At 38.5% G+C, this 21901-nt stretch overlaps 1 protein-coding gene across 1 annotated transcript in view, besides 1 other annotated feature; it reads left to right on the forward strand.

The window, feature by feature from the left end:
- DNAH11 (dynein axonemal heavy chain 11) overlaps positions 1-21901 on the forward strand; it is a 358801-nt gene that overhangs the window by 37278 nt on the left and 299622 nt on the right. The window contains exons 9-18 of the mRNA NM_001277115.2: positions 1589-1705; positions 7748-7885; positions 8196-8320; positions 8892-9087; positions 10602-10706; positions 10869-11261; positions 19471-19803; positions 20360-20614; positions 20694-20863; positions 21080-21302. Of these exons, the coding sequence (NP_001264044.1) occupies positions 1589-1705; positions 7748-7885; positions 8196-8320; positions 8892-9087; positions 10602-10706; positions 10869-11261; positions 19471-19803; positions 20360-20614; positions 20694-20863; positions 21080-21302 (2055 nt within the window). The remainder of the gene's footprint in view (positions 1-1588; positions 1706-7747; positions 7886-8195; positions 8321-8891; positions 9088-10601; positions 10707-10868; positions 11262-19470; positions 19804-20359; positions 20615-20693; positions 20864-21079; positions 21303-21901) is intronic.
- Positions 19728-20927: an enhancer, noted in NCBI's record as "BRD4-independent group 4 enhancer chr7:21639662-21640861 (GRCh37/hg19 assembly coordinates)". NCBI's record gives its function as "activates an origin of replication core promoter dependent on BRD2, P300/CBP, MED14 and CDK7 cofactors, and independent of BRD4, by STARR-seq in HCT116 cells {active_cell/tissue: HCT116}" and the evidence as "EXISTENCE:reporter gene assay evidence [ECO:0000049][PMID:35650434]".

Below are 21901 nucleotides of genomic sequence, written 5' to 3' on the forward strand. Positions count from 1 at the left end.
TTACTTTATTAGCCAATGAGCCTTGAATAAAGAGATTGCTTGGCTCTAATTCAGAAGTGGAAACTTCCTCTTGATGCTAAATATAACATTGTGGTGTATGACACATAGTGTCCTAGAACTTTGCTGTTACACTGCTTTTCAGCTTGTGTGAAATTCAGCATAAGGTGCCCTCTGTTTAGGTTGCTATAACAAAACACGATAAACTGGGTAGCTTATAAACAACAGAAATTTATTTTTCAGGGTTTCAGAGGCTGAGAAGTCCAAGAGCAAGGCTCCCGCAGGTTCAGTGTCTGGGGAGGGCTACATCCCAGTTCACAGATGGCACTTTCTAGCCATGTCCTTACTTGGTGGAAGGATGGAGGAGTCTCTCTCAGGCCTCTTTTATATGGGCACTGATCCCATTCATGAAGGTCCCACACTTATTACCTAGTCACCCCTGAAAGCACCACTTCTTGATACTATCGTATTGAGGGTTAGGATTTCAAAATAAAATTTTGCAAGGACATAAAACATTCAGACTCTAGCAGGTATATTCCTTCAAAGAAACATAGCATCTGGGATCAGGAGCCAGGTTGCCTGGCTTTAAATTCCAGCCCTGACATTTACCAGTGGTGTGATTTTAGGTGAATCATTTAACTTCTCTGAGTTTGTTTTGTCACCTATAATGCACAAAAAATTATAACCTACATGAAATGTTGTAAGAGGTGAGTTAATCATGTGAAATATTTAGAACAGAATTACTCACGTGCTAACTGTCATTAATTCTATTACCGTTGTTATTGTTAATAGATTGAGGCTCAGTTTACAGAGGTGGCAAAGGCCTTCATTGTGAGAAATCTGTGGTGTGTACTTCAGAGGCCTTTTGACTATGAAGCACCAAAATGTTTCTGAAATCCTGGGACTTCTTTACTGGAGACTCAACTCTGATGCTGTGAAGATAATAGTTATTCTTTCACCGTTTCATTGTAACTATGGGAGTGGATAGTTATGTATCAGGAGGAAACTGAGGGATGCTAAACGCACGCTAATAAGAAACTGGGAAAACGTAAGAGTATTTGTTTCCTCTGTATCACTAATGATATTTTCTTACCAGTGGATTTCAGTTCTCACCTGAAGAAATAGTGTTTCCGTGTAGATTTACAACTCCATGAAAAAACAAACAAAAACCCTTCCTATTTAAACTTATAGATGGACTAAAGTTATAATGAGGATAGGTTCTTTTTTCTTTTCTGAAAAACTTCACTTTTTCATTTATAATCAAAATGAATTGGGAGTAGGAGGAGAGACTGAGGCTTCTATGTGAGCATGTGAGCCAAAGCACTGCTGTTGAGGCCTGGGCCACTGAAAAGAATCGGGAAAGCATAGGGGAACAGTGCTAAGCTTTCAGTGATTCTGTAAGGTGGCACTTGCACAGTCAGTCAGATATAGCTCTTTCTTGAACTTCCGTAGAATGCTGCTATGAAAAATAAATTCACTCAGAGACAGAGAGCGAGCGAGAGAGAGCTAAAGTAAGGTCACGCTTGTGTGATTGCTATTTTCGCTGTTGGATTATTTCCAATATACTAATATTTCACTTTGAATTTTACAGGAGTTTGAAAGTGATTATGTGGCATTTAAGTCCAAAACTCTGGAATTTGACAGAAGGCTTGGGACAATTATTTGTGAAGCTTTCTTTAACTGCAATGGCTTAGAAGCTGCATTTAAGGTTAGTTCTGAAGAAGCTATCATAAAAAACGTTTACTATGAATAATATAGGCTGTTAAATGAAAGGGGTGAATTCTCATTCAGGTAGAGTATTCACTAGGTTAACTAGTCATATTCCCTTCAAATTCAGCTCACTGAATAATAAACTTTGAATAGTGTACTAATGAATAATGACACTTTGGACAAGATTATTTTAGGACATTTAGTTACTGTTCTGTTCTTGCATTCACAGTGTTTTAGCTCTCATTATCTTCACAGCAAATTTGGCCTGGCCAATGAAATATTGATTCAAAATTAAGTCACAGTGAAAAGTGAAAAATACCTTAATTCAGGAATTTCTTTTATTTACCATTGTTTAGATTGTTAGGTTCATCTGCCTATTTTATTATTCTGACTGAAACAAATAGCAATTTATATACTGTATTTACCCAGGCATAAGACATCATTGATTATCAGACACACCATTATTTTGTGTAACAATAAAAAATGCTGCCAAATAATTATGATTTCATTGACTGCATAATGTATTTCAGTCGCAGAGATTTTGAAACATAAAAGTATGCTTGTCACAGAATTGATGAAATACAGTTAAGAGTTATATAAAAGAAAAGCATCTCAATAGTGTCCCCAGATGAAAAGCTTATAATATGAGGAATAGCAACACCATGTAAAACTTGCTTGACAAAGAAAAAAATCACAAATCAAGTATAAATTAATAATTAGATAACGTCCCAAAAGAGGGATGGAGGGTTCAATATCAGAAGAAAAAGAGCTAAGAAATCATGGATATAATTCATTGAGAATGGCAGTGCCAAACAATATAGCAGACACAGATTTTTAAAAGATATTGTTTGATTTTGACCTTCGAATGAATTGGCTGGTCAGTGGAGAAGACACCGGCGTTCTCTGGCCCCAGTCAAGCATTTTAACATAAAGAATTCACGAGGATCTGGATAGGAAGAATCATTATCATGAAAATGGCCATACTGCTCAAAGTAATTTATAGATTCAATGCTATCCCCATCAAGCTACCACTGACTTTCTTCACAGAATTAGAAAAAACTACTTTAAATTTCATATGGAACTGAAAAAGAGCATGTATAGCCAATATAATCCTAAGCAAAAAGAACAAAGCTGGAGGCATCATGCTACCTGACTTGAAACTACACTACAAGGCTACAGTAACCAAAACAGTATAGTACTGGTACCAAAACAGATTGTAGACCAATGGAACAGAACAGAGGCCTCAGAAATAATGACACACACATCTACAACCATGTGATCTTTGACAAACCTGACAAAAACAAGCAATGGGGAAAGGATTCCCTATTTAATAAATGGTGTTGGGAAAACTGGCTTGCCATATGCAGAAAACGGAAACTGGACCTCTTCCTTACACCTTATAGAAAAATTAAGATGGATTAAAGACTTACATGTAAGACCTAAAACCATAATACCCCTAGAAGAAATCCCAGGCAATACCATTCAGGACATAGGCATGGGCAAAGACTTCATGACTAAAACACCAAAAGGAATTGTAACAAAAGCCAAAATTGACAAATGGGATCTAATTAAACTAAAATGCGTCTCCACAGCGAAAGAAACTATCATCAGAGTGAACAGGCAACCTACAGAATGGGAGAATATTTTTGCAATCTATCCATCTGACAAAGGTCTAATATCCAGAATCTACAAGGAACTTAAACAAATTTACAAGAAAAAAACAACCCCATCAAAAAGTGGGCGAAAGACATGAACAGACACTTCTCAAAAAGAGACATTTATGTGGCCAAGAAACATGAAAAAAAGCTCATCATCACTGGTCATTAGAGAAATGCAAATCAAAACCGTAATGACATACCACCTCATGCCAGTTAGAATGGCGATCATTAAAAAGTCAGGAAACAACAGATGCTAGAGGGAATGTGGAGAAATAGGAATGCTTTTACACTGTTGGTGGGAGTGCAAATTAGTTCAACCATTGTGGAAGACAGTGCGGCGATTCCTCAAGGATCTAGAACCAGAAATACCATTTGACCTGGCAATACCATTACTGGGTATATACCCAAAGGATTATAAGTCATTCTTCTATAAAGACACATGCACACATATGTTTATTGCAGCACTGTTCACAGTAGCAAAGACTTGGAACCAACCCAAATGCCCATCAATGATAGACTGGATAAAGAAAATGTGGCACATGTACACCATGGAATACTATGCAGCCATAAAGAAGAATGAGTTCATGTCCTTTGCAGGGACATGGATGAAGCTGGAAACCAACATTCTCAGCAAACTAACACAGGAACAGAAAACCAAACACTGCATGTTCTCACTCATAAGTGGGAGTTAAACAGTGAGAACACATGGACACAGAGAGGGGAACATCACACACCAGGGGATGTCAGGGAGTGGGGGGCTAGGGGAGAGGTAGCATTAGGAGAAATACCCAATGTAGATGATGGGTTGATAGGTACAGCAAACCAGCATGGCACATGTATACCTATGTAACAAACCTGCACATTGTGTACATGTATCCCAGAACTTAAAGTATTAAAAAAAATTCATGAGGATCAAATAGTTCTTTGTTTTATAAGAACTCTTCAGTGAAACTCAGGTGCCAGCCATCAGCCGAAATGTACAGCCTGTTGTTATAAAATGACCTGTAATCTCATCTCTCAGGTATACTTGCTAGTATATTTAATACTGCCACTATTTTTTCTTTGTCTAGATATGCATACATGTTTCTCTTTGACAAAAATGACATTATATTTTAATCCTCTACTGTAATCTTCTTCACTTAACAGAGTCATAAAATTTTTTCTTGCCTTTATAACAGAATTCAAGTATTATTTTTTTACATGTGTGATAGTCTATCATATTCTTTGCTACTGGAACTAGTTTTCTTTCTTGCTTTTACAAATAACTAAAAAAAATGTAGAGTGAAATCTCAATTACAGAGGCTCCTGCCATTTTCAATTCAAGTCTCTCTTTTTCACAACCATTAGTATGAATTCTGTTATAGTACCTGTCAGTTAATGTTTTTTCTAAACAATTTAATCTCTTAGGTAAAAGGTTTTTTTCTTTAACTTTTCAGATATTTGACCTGTTTACTGAACAAATATAAGATGAGATCCTACTGTCATAAGCTTGGCGGGGGTGTGGCATCATCTTACAGCTTCTGTGTAGATTGCCTTCCATGGTGACTTGTACAAAGTGGCGTTTAATAAGTACTTGAGGCTAGGTGGAGTGACTGGTAGTTCAAGTAATGAAATAACATGCTGATGAGGGTAAACTGCTGCAAGTGTAATGGCAGAGGAAAAAATTACAAGGCTGTGTACTTAGAAAAATATTGCATCCATAGGGATAGAATGATGAGCTCAGACCATTTACTGTTGGTCCCTGGGAAAAAAATATTTATAGATGGTTCTCTGAAGACGACTATTCCAGTACCTGCTATTGTCACAGACATGGCCAGGAAGGGCACCGGAACTGAGCGCTATTCTACTCTAATATAAAAGTATAGTACTTTAAAATCTGAAGTGCTGGTGCTCACCAAAAACCAAAACCAAATACTACTGAATGGCTCTCTAAAATTTACATGAAGGTAAACCGAAGTGTGTAAAAAAAATTGTCTAGAAAGGACTTCAGCTTTGAAAAGTATTAAAATGTGAAGTGTATATGGTTTAGGTGGCCACAGATTTTTAAAAATCTTTGAAAGAGGCGCACCTAGGAAAAATATAAATATGTACTACACCGAACAATGGCAATGGTGTTATGAAAAACTGTATTATGCAATGAAAGAGAAGTGGAGCAAAATTAAGGCAAACCTTGCAGATCTCAGATGTGATATTTAGAAAGAGAAGCATGTGGTGGGAATTACTCTTTAGTCTTGAAGTCAATGTGAAAGAAAACATCTCTACTCTTCATAAAATAGCTTTTAGTTTTACTGTGAACAAAGAAGCAAGAGGTTGAAATGACCTTTACTCTCCTCCTGGAGGGTGGTTTTTATACATTTTGCATGACAAACAATTACAATAATGTATACTGCCTAAAACATTGAGACTTTTCCTACTACTTTTTGGCTTTACAACCTCGCCTCAGAGTATTTTCTCTATGTATTTTCTCTTGAAAACTTGGAGTTAAGGACCGCTAAGCTGGTGGGCAAGATGTGATGTAGCTAGGAAGCTTCTGGTATTCTTTCCATTGTGGTCAATATGATAAGTTTTTACAAAATAATGTTGTGAAATAAATACACTTATCATTTCTTGTTGGAATATACTTTTTTGTTAAATACATAAGGCAATGTTTACTTCAGAATTTTTATTTGAAACCCAAACTCAACAAAACAATGACTGTGGGAAGAAAGTTAATCATTTACATTTTGCTAGGTAGCCCCGAGTAGTAGATTTAAAAATATTTAGCAGTTTCTACTGTAGTTATAATTGCTGTCACCAGAAAAAGTCAGAATGTGTTTGTCTAAATTGATCCCTAAGGTATAGTTATAGTTACATTTTAGTTTCTATAATTTTTTCATGGTAATTTTATTTTCAGTGAATGTAGTTTATGGAAATATTTGCAAATTTTTATTATGAAGCTGTTTTTTAAGTGAAACAAGTTTTAGGGAATACCTGTTATTTCCTTAAGAAAAAGAACAAAGCCCCCTCCTTTGCCATATTGCTAAACAAGGCGTGACCTTGGATACAGTTTATCTACCACTGTAAATATACTTAGTTATTTTGAGATGTCTTCTTTCAGAGAAAATACCTATATGACAGGCTTAATAACTAACATATTATAAAGCCCACACAGAATGATCAGATAACAAAATGACATAACTTTCAATGGCGTATTAGCTGATGAGAAGCTACACACTGAAGCACAAACCCGAATGCTAGACTGCCTGGTTTCAAATCCCAGCTCCGCCACTAGCTGTTACGAATTTGGGAAAATCATTCCCTCCTTGTAACTCAGTTTCCTCACCTGGAGTGTGTAATAATAACAGCACTTTTAAAGCCCTTAACACATAGTTCCTGGGACATAGCACTATAGAAACATTGGTTATATACAAATAAATGTTTTGGTTACATCATTTTGCTTGCAAGGAAAGAGCTATTTTATGCTAGCACACAGAAGAATCCACATTGGGTAGTAAACAAGACAAGAGACTAATGGGAATCCAAAATCAGACTCACTGGATAACTAAGCTTTGTGAACACCGGCAGTGAAGGTAAGTTTGAAATCTAGGGGGCTCCATTGACTGAGCAAGAGGAGTTTGTGAGACTCGACTCCTGCTTTGCTGGTCATGTGATCCTGTTCAGTCTGTGTGTCTGCTTTCTCCTGTCCCACTATCAGTTGACTTCCTCTGCTTGCTAGTAGTTTCTGCTCACTGATAATTTTAGCCAGCATGGATTCAGCCAGGCCCTGACTCTGAGAAAGAATCTTATTAGCTCAAAGCATTGATTTGAGCCAGGACAGTCATCCACCTGTGGAGTGGTTGTCCTTGTAACAGTCACCACTGTAGCCCCAGGACACTGTTGGGGGTGGCTGGGTCGTGTGGATGTACCAGCGGCCATAGGCATGCAGTCATGGTGACTGGCACATCTGGTATAATTATTCATGCTGTGACCTAGAGGGCCTTAATATGGATATATGGATATTTATATCTAAAGAATACATATGTAGGAGGGAAGAACAATAACAAGTATGTGAATCTTGTTTCTATTCTTATATCTGCAAAGCATCTTCTAAAATGTTACCTGGAACCCAACAGGAAATAATATTAGCTGTGAACGGAAATTGCAGACAGACAGTGGTTCCTTTCTGCTGAGAAAGGGAAATTATTTTACATCTAGAATTGGTTTATTGGATGTACAGAAATTTTAGGGAGATGGAAAAATACATTTTACATTTTGAAGCATCACAGGATGCTTTTAAGATTCTAAACTTTAGTCATGTAAGAGGTTTGAAGGGGAACATTATGAGCTGAGTATTTGTTAAAAACTCATAGTGCTTAATGTTGCCTTCACTTTGATTTTTATAGCTTTTGACCATATTTGGAAATTTTCTAGAGAAGCCAGTTGTCATGGAAATTTTCAGCCTACATTACAGCACACTAGTGCATATGTTTAATACAGAGCTGGATGTGTGTAAGCAACTGTATAATGAACACATGAAACAGGTAAGTGGTGGATAAGGTTGGACACATTTACAATATCATTTAGGCGGATAATGACCATCAACTAGAACTCTATGTGATTATATCTAAAGATTAGATATAGGCACTACATTTTTGTGCTTTTATTTAACTGGTTTCCTCATGGAGATGGTAAACTTGCTTTAGGACTGTAACTCTTCTAGTAATCAAGTGATTAAACACATATGTTTTATACTACTGTAAAAATACCAAAATGAAAAATTGCTTACAGGGTTGGAAACCATTCTGACTAAATGTTCCCTTTCTTCCTCTTCACCAAAATATCAACTTGCAGATTGAATGTGGTCATGTAGTTCTTAACAAGAACATGCCATTTACCTCAGGAAATATGAAATGGGCCCAGCAGGTTCTCCAACGACTTCAAATGTTTTGGTCAAACTTCGCATCTCTCCGTTATCTGTAAGTAGTTAAGCTTAGGTCATGGCAAGTTATTCTAATGGTACGGGTGACATTTTATATAAGAGAGTGAGCTGTTCATATTAGCACTTAGGAAGCCATTGCCCTGTTCACTTCTCTCACTGGTTGGGTTTGTGGAGAGGGATTCATTCCCATGGTTTTGGAATATTTCTAATGGGACTCTTAGAATTTCATATGCTTACATGTTTTCTGGTCCTTTTTTTCTTTTTCCTTGTCCTTTCCACCCACCATGTTTGGAGTTTCTCGTTATTGTTTTTCCTTTTTCCAATAAATAACACTGCTTTTATAATGCAATCTTTGTACCTTTTTCTTCTCTTCCTAGGAGCCAGTAGCTTGTTGCTATCAACATTTAGTAAAATCTTGAGTTTCATTCATCTTATAACTTTATCTTTTAAAGCAAAAGCAATTAATACGCACATAATTTGGTCTTGACTGTTTCTCTTCCTGGTTGTTTATAGTGTATTATATTTTATATATTGTATTACTATACAATTATTAAGCGGAAATCTATCTAATATACGTATAAACCAGTAGAAAAACCTTATTCCTACAGATTTTTGGGCAATCCTGATCACGCTTTAGTTTATCAAAAGTATGTTGAAATGACCACTTTGCTTGATCAATTTGAAAGTCGTATCTATAATGAATGGAAAAGTAATGTGGATGAAATCTGTGAATTCAATTTGAATCAACCCTTGGTTAAATTCAGTGCCATAAATGGTCTTCTCTGTGTCAATTTTGACCCAAAGGTAGGGATTTGATTTTTTAAGATGATTTATAAGTGCCCTTTTTATTATAAGCCTATTTCTGATATTTCCAGTCATTTGTAATTTACATTTGGGAAAATGTCAGAGTTGTGAGGACTGTAACTGTAAACAATTTCTTACAGGTCTTCATTGTAGAGATTTGTTTCTCAAATTCTACTAATTACTCTATTAATTTGTATTGTAATTGTTTCTTTACCACGCCACCCTCACTAGATAATGAGCCACTGAGAGTAGCATCCGTTTCATTGCATCTTTATGCTCTATGTTTCTAGTTTAGTGTCTGGTACTTGGTGACAGTTAGTAAATGTTAGCTCAACTGAATTGAATCATTTGTCTTTGCCGGACAGTTTCTGGCTTAAATATATTCATAACATACACCAGTGTTTTAGTTAAAATTTCATCACGTAAGTTAAGATTTGGGGAATCAACAGAATACACAGAATGAAAGACACGTCACGTTTTTGATGAGCACTGGTAGATTTTAATTTATTGTCATTTCTTTCAAAGGGACAATAAGCTTGTATATGGTAATTAAATTGATGGTAATTTTAAAAAACATAAAACATATTAATATAAAAAATATTAAGTTAAATAATGTCCAGGATGAATATTATCTTTATTGAACAGGTCTTTTGTTAATGCATGGTAAGTCATGTAACAAAGGAAATTTCATATATTTTCTCAATTCTCATAATTTCATTACATGTTATGTAACAATGGGATTTTTGTTACCATTTATGTATGTGTATGTGTATATAATTATACAATATGTGCATATATTTAATCAATGCTAGATGTGCATGTATATATGTATGTATATGCATTGTATATATTTTAAACAAACGATCTCCAAGTCTGGCAGCTTGCTAGATATGAGACATAAAATAAGCTTTCTTTTCTATTTACCACCATGGGTATGCTTTAGGGTAAGGGGCAAGCTTATAAGAATATCTATTTGTAATTTCCATGACAAAACACAAAATGCCTTAAACATCTAGCTGAATTTTTAGGGGATGAAGATTATACATTCACTATTAGTGATTACCTGGAGTCTCTCATGGCAGTCAAAATGCATGCCTAGGAAGTGGGAAAGTTAGCCTCACTGAGTTGGATAAGCATACTCTGCACCCAAATTCTGATCTGTTTCCCTAAAATATGTACAGAGAATAGTTGACTTTATTTTGCTAGTAAAACTCAGCACACATACCTAAATATATGACATAGTTAACTGAGGATTCGTTCTACTTTCTGATTTCATAAAACCAATTTATAGAAACTAATTTCTTGAGATGTTTAAGGATAATTCATATACCTTTACTATATTATGAATGTATGATTTTTGTTTTTAAAAAGTATATGAAACAAAAGTCTATTTACCTTGATTTGGAAATATAGTAATACTTGGATAACATCTTAAGTATTTCAAGTTAAACTTGAGTTAAAATAGAATGACATTATGAAAATATGCAATAATTTTAATAATTGTATTTTAATAGCTAGTGGCTGTATTGAGAGAAGTGAAATATCTTTTGATGTTGAAGAAACAAGACATACCAGATTCAGCTTTAGCCATCTTCAAGAAAAGGAACACTATTTTAAAGGTTTGTGATTTTTGTTAAAAAAAAGATACTAGGGCCTATTATGAATATAAATATTTTGAATTTTAATTATTATATAGATCTATATGATATTTTTACACCTTTAAGACAGAGAAAATAGCTAACATATTTGGCACTTTTTGTTTTGGGGTTTTCTTTGCTCAGTACATTGGAAATCTTGACCTTCTTGTGCAAGGGTATAATAAACTCAAACAGACGCTCCTGGAAGTTGAATACCCTCTGATTGAAGATGAGCTGAGGGCTATTGACGAGCAGCTGACAGCAGCCACAACGTGGCTGACATGGCAGGATGACTGCTGGGGCTACATCGAGAGGGTGAGGGCAGCCACGTCCGAGTTGGAGCACAGAGTTGAGCGCACACAGAAAAACGTGAAGGTGATCCAGCAGACCATGAGGGGCTGGGCCAGGTGCGTGCTACCTCCCAGGAGAGAGCACAGACGAGAGGCAGCCTTCACCTTGGAGGACAAGGGTGATTTGTTTACAAAAAAATACAAGTTAATCCAAGGAGATGGCTGCAAGATCCACAACTTGGTCGAGGTAATGGCTTTTAACCTTTCAAGATTTATAGATCTTTTCATTGAGTTCAGAGAAGAGCAAAAATCTTTAACCTAATAATGTGGGACTCTTTTATCAAGCCTGAAAGAGCTTTATGAATGGTATTATTAGGCATTTAAAGTGGAGGAATTTGTGTTACTTGCCTGCAATTTCTGTAGCCCTCACCACTGTCATTCCTGAGGGAAGAGATTAGAATGTGAGATGTGTTGATTAAACAGAAAGGCTAGTGATAGAATCTTTATCTTGTCACAGTTGCATCCTCTTTTGGATGCTCCTTATAGCTACCACTGTTTGTTGACTGCCTCGTATGTGCCAAACAAACAACTTCCTTAGGTCATCTCAAGGTACCCTCTCAACCATCTCCTAAGGGTGGCAACAATAATTACTCTCCTTTTAACAAAGATTTGAGTTCCTAAAACAGTAACAGGCACTCATCTAGGCTTGTGAATGCAAGAGAAAACAGAAAAAAAACACACACACACACACAAAAGGCAGAAGGCAGGAAAATAAAAGCAAACAACACAATGCTCCCCTGCCAACCACCACCAAATCCTTTATTTCATGGAGCTTACACTCTAGTCAGAGGAAGTTAGCAAGAGAAAAGAACAAATAGATATGTCAGTTGTAATAGGAGCAATGATGAAAAATAGAGCAGAGCAGGTGGGATAGGGAGTCGCTTGCGGGTAGGGTGGTTGGGCAGGCCTCTTTCCTAAGATAGTATTTCTGCAGAGAACTGACAGGGAACAAAGCATATGGATATCAGGAGAAGAACATTCTGGAGAGCAAAAGTATAGACACTTTGAGGCAGGAGCAGCCTGGCCTGTTCCAGGATCAGTCAGCAAACTGAGATCAGAATTTGCAAGGGGAGTGGTAGTAGAGGGTGAGGTAGAAGAGACTAATGGTACATTATGTGGGGTTAGCAGGCTGTTATGAGGACTTTGGATTTTACCGTAAGGGGAAAGAGCAGCCAGAGACTTTCTGCTCAAAGGCTTTCCCTGTGGAGGGTAAGCCACAGGCAAGCAAAGAAGTGGTTGGCAGGGAGACTCTTCAGAGCCTATGCTAATAATCCAGGTGAGAAATGATGCTGCCTTGGGTCATAGTGCTAGTGATCAAGGCAGTTCATATCCTGCAGATATTTTGATGGCAGAGCCAGCAGAATTTGCTTTGAGGAATCAGAGGAGAGAGAAGTCAAGGATGATTTCAAGGTTTTTGGTCTGAGTGATTGGACTGGACTGGGGTTGCCCTTTAATGATATGAGGAAGACTGTGGTGAGCAGATTTTGTAGCAGAAAAAAAAAGGAGGTTTGGTTTTGGACAAGTTAGTTAGAGATGCTTGTCCTAAGGGACATTTTGAGTAGACTAGAATTGCAAATGTGTCTTGTGTTCAGGGCAAAATCCAGGTAAGTAACAGAGAATTGAGATTTATGCACATATGTATGGTATTTAGAGCCATATAATTAGATTAAGAACATGTGGGAATTGTAGATAGAAAAGAGGCCCAAAAACTAGCCTCGAAGTCCTCCCTAGGTCAGGGAGAAGAGGAAAATCCCACAGAGGATACTGAAAAAGAGAGAGTGATGCCCTGGAAACCAATAATAGAAGGGATTTCAAGGAGGAGGAAGAGCTCAACTCTGTCCCATCCTGACGTAGGACCTGAAAATAAAGACGGAGGCTAACCCTCAGATCTGGCAGCACGGAAGTCATTGGGATGAGGAGAGGTGATTTCATGTGGTGGCAGAGTGGAAGCTTGGTGGGAGTGGGCTGATGAGAGAATGGGGAAATATGAGTGGAGGCAGCTGAGGAGATCCTGAGGAGCTCTGCTGTGTGGCAAACCAACAACTGGGCAGTACCTGGGGCCTGTGTATCAGGGTGGGGAGGGTTTTATTTTTAATAGTGGTTGATGTTTCAGGATGTTTGTATGTTAACTGCAGTAATCTAGGAAGGAGAAAAAATTGTTGGAAGAAAGCCATTGAGGGAAATGGGATTTAGTAAATACCTGTAGAAGGTGTCTTTAGACAGGAGCGCGGAGCATTCATCTGTAGTACAGGATGGAGGGAAGGCAAAGATAGGAATGTGGTGCTCACAGATGTGCAATGCTGATGATGGGAACATGGGGAGTTGATTTCTTGTTGTTACTATTTCTTAAGGAAAAAAGGGATAGGAATGAAAGAGCGTATTTCATGTTTCCTCTGAGCATCCTTGTTATGTGGAGTCTTCTCTATAGACCAGCACAGTCCTTAATCCATGAATACTCTCCTTTGGGCAAGGCAGACAGACCCCCTCCCCTGCCCCTGCTCCCCCCAGACACAAAATCTCTCTCTCTCTAACACACACACACTCTCTTTCACACACACATACTCTTTTTCTCTGTATGTCACATACTCTCACACACAGTCTCTTCCTCTCACATATCACACACACACTCACACACACTCTTTCTCCCTCATGCACACTCTTTCATACACACATACACACACACACACACACACACACACACACACACACTCTGAAGCCATCATGAAGTAGCACAGTGTGGGGTAGGGAAAGTGTCCTTGGTAAAGGCTGGAAACCAGAGTCTTCCAGAGGCTGGGCCTGAATTTTCTCATGTGTAAAATGAAGGTCCTTGTCTCTAGGATAATTCTCAGCAGAACAAGAAATAGATTACGGTTTTCCTGCTGGGAATTGTATGCAACCCATTATGTATCTTGTCTTTGCAGTCCATCATCATTCACTTATTTGAGAAATATTTATTGTGAGCATTGTGTGTACCCAGCACCTTTCTAGGTTTTTGAAATATGAGAGCAGAGCAGACAAAGTTCCTTGCTCTCATGGAACTTGAATCAAGTGAGGAGAGAGACAATAAGCAGTGACATAGTAAGTCGTGCTGTGTTAGAACTGGTACGCGCTGCAGGAAAAAGATCAAATTGGAGCAGGGCAAGGGAATTCTGGAGGGTGGGGTCGAGGATGCAGTTTTAAGTAGGATGATCAGAGTAGGCCTCAACCAGAAGGTGAAATTTGAACAAAGACTTGACAGAGGTGATAGAGTCAGCCAAGTGGGCCTTTGGTGAAGAGTGTTCCAGGCAGAGGAGATAGTTTTGGGGCAGGAGATCCCTGGGCATGCTCGAGGAGGAGCAGGGAAGTAAGTGTGGGGGGAGTAGAGGGAGCTGAGTGGAGAGTTGCTGAGGTGAGGTCAGACGCTAAGCTGCGTGGTGAGGGACTGGCAGCTCAGGGGAGGCTTCATAGGCCTTTTTGCAGATTCTGGCTTTGGCTCACTCTGAGGTATGTGAAAGACACTGCAGAATTTTGAGATTTTGAGAAGGGGAGTAAATACAATCTGACTTTCATTCTAAAAGGATTTCTGGCTGTTGTGTTGAGACCCTCTGTAGGGAGGCTAGGGAAGAGGCAGGCCGACCTGGTAGGTTGCCATTCTTACTAGTAATCTAGGGGTTCCGTATGTTCAGGCTGATATAGCAAAATACTCTAAACTGAGTAGCTTTAAAACAGCAGAAATGGTTATCTCATAGTTCTGGAGGACCAGGTGCCAGCATGATCAGTTTCTGGCAAGGCCCCTCTTCTAGGTTGCAGACTGCCAACTTCTCATTGTGTCCTCACATGGAGGAAGTTCCCCTGGGCCTGTTTCATATAGGCAGTACTTTCATTCATGAAGGCTCTGCCCTCAGGACCTAATCACCTCCTCCTAAACCCCTCCTCATAATACCATCCCCTTGGGGGTTGGGATTTTCACATTCAAATTTTGGGAGGACATAAGCATTCAGACAGTGGCACAGGCACGTAACAGATGATGGTGCTGGACCAGGGTGGTAGCAGTGAAAGTGATTAGAAGTAGTTGGATTCTGGATATATTTTGAATTAAGTGGAGCAAACAGAGTTTCCCAAAGACTGGATGTGGAGCACGAAAGAAAGACACGTTAAAGATTATTCTACACATTTTGTCATGATCAACTGGAAAGGTGAATTTGCAATCTATTCAGATGGGGAAGGGTATGAGAGGAAGAGACTTAGCAGGGAAGGTCAAGATTTCAGTTTTGGGCATTTTGAATTTGAGGTGTTAATTAGCCAAGAGGAGTTGAGTGGGCTATTGGATTTACTCATTTAGAGTTAATGAGAGGGGTCCAAACTGAAAACACAAATGAAGGAGGAGTGGATGGCAATGATATTTAAGCCAGGAGACTGGATGTGATCACCGAGAACATGAGTTTAGCTAGAGAATAGAAGAAAATCAAGGACTGTTGGCTGGACCACCATTCTTCTCTTAGGAGACCAGGGAGAAGAAGGACCAGCCAAAGATGCAGAAAAGGAAAGGCTGAGACAGTAGGAGGAAAACCAGGACAGGAAGCCGAGTGAAGAAAGGGTTCGGAGGGTAACAGATTTTCTTACCAAAACGTAAAGTACAGTACATTTGATATGCTCTAGTGGATATGGAGAAGAAAATAAAAAGAAGTACATAATTAACATGGGTTTCAGTGTTTCTGTTGACTTCCAGTGTTTTCTAAAATTTCTAAGAAAGTTTTAATTTTCCCATCAATGACAATTTGCTAGGACAAAGACTTTGTTTCTGTCTTCTTTGAGTACTGCCTGGAATAGCGTCCCAAGGCTGCCATGACAAGGTCCACAAACAGGCTGTCCTGAAATGAAAGAAGTTTATTCTCTCATAGTCTAGAGGGCTGAAGTCTGAAATCAAAGTGTGGGCAGGGCCATGCTCCCTCAGAAGGCTCTGCCAAAGTCCTGGGTAGCCTGGAGAGAATCTCAGGGGTGTCCTGACGTGTAAGGGAGGTATTTATCTAGAAATTAATTTGTTTTTCAGCAGTATCTTAACTAAGTCATGCCGTGGACTATTTCTAGTTGTTCAATAAATGCTGTGAATTATTCTCTGACTTTTAAGACATCTCTACAACTGTTTATGTGTTAGAATCTGTCTCATAGAGGACAGATGATGGATTACGGTTAGTTTTTTCTGTTACATTTTCTTGATAATAAAAAAATGTACTCCCCAAACTCTAAGGATTTAAACCATTAAGATATGAATCCTGATGAAAATGCATTAAAAGTATGGCCAAGACATGACTAGAAATCATCAGAAAACAAGGTTTTGCATTGTCATCTCAGAGAAAAATGTTAGAATTTTTTGTATTAATAAATGGATTCTCCTATTTTTGTCCTTAAGGCAAAAACTAGGAAGCTTTGAAATCACTGTTCTCAATCCAAGAATGGAAGAGAGCTTCTGCCTTGAGGGAATGTAAGCCAGCTTTAAAATGGAAATGAAATGATTATTTGTTTCCATAAGTTGGGTCTTTTAAGTGATTATTTTCCTCTTGACTTAGCACGTGATGTTGAACCTAGTTCTCAGGCTTCTGGTGAGGAACATGGTTTGGGGAAAAGCTGTAGAAATATGGCCAAGGGTGAGTCAGTTCTGCCTTTTGCATGCTGCATGTTTTCTGGCTGGTGGCATGTCAGCGAGTGGTCTGGAGTCAGAGTTAAAGATGGAGAGAAGAGAGGAGCAGGACCATGGAATATTGGGCCTGAGTGATCATTCAGTTATCTAAAGCTCTCCTTTCTCTTCCTTTCGCTCCCTTTATCCGAATGTGCTGAAGATACAGCATTTCTCATCAATGTGACTGTAGTGAGGTAAACTGGATCTCTTGGTATGAAAAAGTGTGTATGACCGTGACATGATGGGAAAGGCCCTACTCTGGGAGGTCAAGAGGGCTGGTTTCTAGTCCTAGCTCAGCTATTAACTTCCTACTAGTGCGACGCTGAATGTGTATTAGGTCTTTGTTTTCATGTCTATGTTAGTATGTTTTCACACTGCTTTGAAAAAAAGAACTACCTGAGACAGGGTCATTTATGAAGAAAAGAGATTTAATTGACTCGCAGTTCTAGATGGCTGGGGAGGCCTCAGGAAACTTACAATCATGGCAGAAGGCAAAGGGGAAGCAAGGTCCGTCTTACATGGTGGCAGGAGAGAGAGCAAAGGGGAAGAAACACACACTTATCAAACAACCAGATCTCATGAGAATTCTGTAATGAGAACAGCAAGCGGGGGGTTGGGGCAGGGAGTCTGCCCCCATGATTCAGTCACCTTCCACCAGGCCACTCTCCCAACACATGGAGATTACAATTCAAGTTTAGATTTGGGTGAGGACACAGAGTCAAACCGTATTAATATCTTTAAGATGAGGAGACTTAACAAGATGGTCTCTAAGGATTTTTCTTCAGCTGTAAGATCTATACTTTTCTCTTTTAGTGCCTACAAAGGGGCCAGGGCAGCTGTGTATACTTTCCTAGGGTGTGTACTGCACAATTCCAGGGGTGCATGTCACATGATTACACAGATGTGAATGGTTCCACCTGGCTGGTAGGCAACACAGCATTCCTGAGAAGGAGCAGTTCTTAAATTTTTTTGAGAGCTAGGGTTCTCTCATCTCTCCCCTGCCTTATTAGGATCTGTACTTACCTCTCTAGTTCTGATTCTTGCTTACAACATAACACCTTTGCATCCTGGATCATATATCCATAGTAAAGAATAATCAAAGAAAACAGAGAGTATAGTCCACCTTACAATCAGCTCTTATTCCAGTGTCACCTTATAATCAGCTCTTATTCCAATGTCTCTTTTGCTCTGTGCTTCAGTTCCTCCCTTGGGTATCTGCCGTCTGGTCTGTATAGACCATGCAAGTTTAGCCACTCAGCCTCTCTAGAATCAACTTTGCTGCCCACCTGACCTTTTGAAACCTGTGTCTCTAGGCAAGCACACTGCGTGCTCAACCTGTAGTGGTCCTTAACCACACCTCTGTCTTCAGGTCCTATTTTGCCCCAACTGGCTTGTCCATTGTGTCGCCCAAACTCTTGGGAGACACTAAGGTGCAAGAAGCTCATATTGTTGATGCAAGAAGGGAGCTTAGAACTTCCCTAGTCCAGTGTTTTCTAAACTGGGTCTATTCCACAGGTTGCTTATCATAGATGGTATGCAAAAATAAATAAATAAATAAATAAATAAATAAATAAATAAATTGTGCTTAAACAAGGTCTGAAAACATGAAGGTTTATTGTACAGATTATTTTATCACCCAGGTATTATGCCTAGTACCCACTGGTTATTTTTCCTGATCCTCTCCCTCCTTCCAATCCTTACCCTCCTTTAGATCCCAGTGTGTGTTGTGCCCCTCTATGTGTCCATGTGTTCTCATCATTTATTTCCCACTTAAAAGTGAGAAAATGCAGTATTTGGTTTTCTGCTCCTGCATTAGTTTGCTGAGGATAATGGCCTCCAGCTCCATCCATGTTCCTGCAAAGGACATGATCTCGTTGTTTTTTATGGCTGCATAGTATTCCATGTATACACGTACCACATTTTCTTTATCCAGTGTATCATTGATAGGCACTTAGGTTGATTCCATGTCTTTGCTATTGTGAATAGTGCTATAATGAACATACATGTGTGTGTCTTTATAATAGAATGATTTATATCCCTTTTGGTGTATATCCAGTGATGGGATTGCTGGGTCAAATGATATTTCTGTTTTTGGGTCTTTGAGGAATTTCCACACTGTCTTCCACAGTGGTTGAACTAATTAACATTTCTACCAACAGTATATAAACATTCCTTTTTCTGTGCAACCTCACCAGCATCTGTTATTTTTTGACTTTTTAATAATAGCCTCAGTGGACTTTAATAGAATAGGTACATTGTGAGTCTCCAAGAATGGCATAGAGTACATAGTACTTCACTGACTTGATAGTCTTCAGATGTTCCAGAACAGTGTTCTCTGAAGGACCAGTTTGACAGATCTCTTTATTTATACGGAAGGCCCTGGAAGGCAAAGTCTAAGGACACAGAGTTAGTGACAGAGCAAAAACTAGAGCCCAGGTCCAAAATGTCTAGAATTCACTGGGAACTAGTGTATTTCCTGTCTGTATCTGAAGATAGCAATCTTTGTAGAGAACTTTCCTTGAAACAACTTTTGAATGTATTTCATGTGTGAACTTAATGTTCTAAATTCCTGCTTAGATCTTTGACATCTAGCTTAAGGTTCTGCAACTTAGTATTTGAATGTTCCTGTCTTGTGCACAACAATGCAGTCTCTTCTTTTACAAACTATTTAAACGGAGAGTTTTAGTTTTTATGCTAATTATTTGTTTATATTCATCCACTAATACTTGTCTGTTTCTAGGAAAATAGGAAGCTCTTCAAAGCCAATCCCTCTCTGGATACCTGGAAAATTTATGTAGAATTCATTGACGACATTGTGGTGGAAGGCTTTTTTCAGGCTATAATGCACGACTTAGACTTCTTTCTGAAGAATACAGAGAAACAATTGAAACCGGCACCGTTTTTTCAAGCACAAATGATCTTGTTGCCTCCTGAGATTGTGTTTAAACCTTCCCTAGACAGAGAGGCTGGGGATGGCTTCTATGATCTTGTAGAAGAAATGTTATGCAATAGTTTTAGAATGTCTGCCCAGATGAACCGAATAGCAACACACCTGGAAATTAAAAATTATCAGGTATTTTCTTAGTAAATGGGTATTTAGCTTTTATATTAATGATTCAAAAACAAATTGTGGCTGAGTATGGTAGCTCATGCTGGGAATCCCAGAACTTTGGGAGGCTGAGGCAAGAGGATTGCTTGGGCCCAAGAGTTCAAGACCAGCCTAAGCAGCATAGCAAGACCGTCTCTTAAAAAAATTAAAAAATTAGCTGGGTGTGGTGGCATGCATCTGTAGTCCCAGCTACTCAGGAGGCTCAGGCAGGAGGATTGCTTGAGTCCAGGAGTTAGAGGCTGCAGTGAGCTATGATTAAGCCAGTGCACTCCAGCTTGAGTGACAAAACCCTGTCTCAAAAAAACAAAAACAAAACACAAAAAACCACCAGAAAACAAAACCCAGAACAAATTAGGAAAATGGGAAGCACAGGGAAAAGAGAAGTTGGAAAAAGCAACATGATTTTTAATTTTTCTAACTACTCTCCCTTTGAAGAATTACCTTGGTAATGTTATGTTGTAGATAATTGGTAAAGTAAGGTTGGTTTGAATAGTAAGTGCTGTGTTTTCCTCTCATTTAGAATGATATGGATAACATGTTAGGCCTGGCAGAGGTCAGGCAGGAGATCATGAACAGAGTGGTGAATGTCATCAACAAAGTCTTAGATTTCAGAAACACCCTGGAGACCCACACTTACCTCTGGGTGGATGATCGAGCTGAGTTTATGAAGCATTTTCTCTTGTATGGCCATGCTGTGTCTTCCGATGAAATGGATGCTCATGCAAATGAAGAAATTCCCGAACAACCACCAACTCTTGAGCAATTCAAAGAACAGGCAAGGAAAACCCTTAGCATTTAATGTAGTGAAATGGCTTTTCACTGAGTTGTTCTAATTAATCTTTTTCTCACTACAGATTGACATTTATGAAGCTTTGTATGTTCAAATGAGCAAATTTGAGGACTTTAGAGTGTTTGATAGTTGGTTCAAGGTGGACATGAAGCCTTTCAAAGTGAGCTTGTTAACCATAATTAAGAAATGGAGCTGGATGTTTCAGGAGCATCTTTTGAGATTTGTCATTGACAGGTAGCCTTTTACTTTGGTTTTTGGAATTATAACTTTCTAAACTGCTTTCTAAAACTGAGATGTTACTTTTAAGCGTATTAATGTTGCCAGTTTCATGATAGAGATAAATGTTTAATCAGGTACATAATGAAAATAAGATTCAATCAGAAGTCTTATACTGCTAAATGTTTTAATAAACTTAATTTGTGTGTATCTATGTACATATATATTTAATAGTCTGAATGAGCTACAAGAATTTATAAAGGAGACAGATTCCGGACTTCAGAGAGAATTAAATGAAGGTGATCATGATGGTTTAGTTGACATCATGGTGCATCTTCTGGCTGTAAGAAGCCGACAGAGAGCTACTGATGAACTCTTTGAACCTCTAAAAGAAACGATCACCCTCTTGGAAAGCTATGGCCAGAAGATGCCTGAGCAGGTCTATATTCAGCTAGAGGTAAGTGCAGAGGTGAAATAATCATAATTACCATAAATTGAGCATCTCTTTTATTAAAGTACTTTACATGTACTCTCTTATGATGTCCTTATAACAATCTATACTGTACACATTTGATGTTTTCAATTTACAGGTTAGGAATCTGATACTTAAGGAGATTTAATAACTTTCTCAAGGTCATGCAAATAGTAAAGCCAGCCAACACTCTCGGTGTGTTTTATGACAAAATACTTAACCACTGTGCTCCACTGCCTTCTTATTAGAAAGAATGTAGATTGTAAAGAACCTATGAGTTGCTTTTTTGAGTTCAGTTTTACCATCATTTTTCACACATGAAATATATCCATACTTTTTTTTTTCATTCAAAAAAACTACCTGTCAGTCAAGAAGTGCCCTAGTCTTGCAAACGTATCATGGATTTGTTAATAAAGAATAAATAGGCCAGGCGTGGTGGCTCATGTCTGTAATCCCAGCACTGTGAGAGGCTGAGGCAGGCAGATCACCTGAGGTTCGGAGTTCAAGACCAGCCTGGCCAACATGCTGAAACCCCATCTCTACTAAAAATACAAAAATTAGCTGGGCATGGTGGCACGCACCTG

This window comes from Homo sapiens, chromosome 7 (assembly GCF_000001405.40).
Source record: "Homo sapiens chromosome 7, GRCh38.p14 Primary Assembly".
Taxonomy (NCBI): Eukaryota; Metazoa; Chordata; class Mammalia; order Primates; family Hominidae; genus Homo; species Homo sapiens.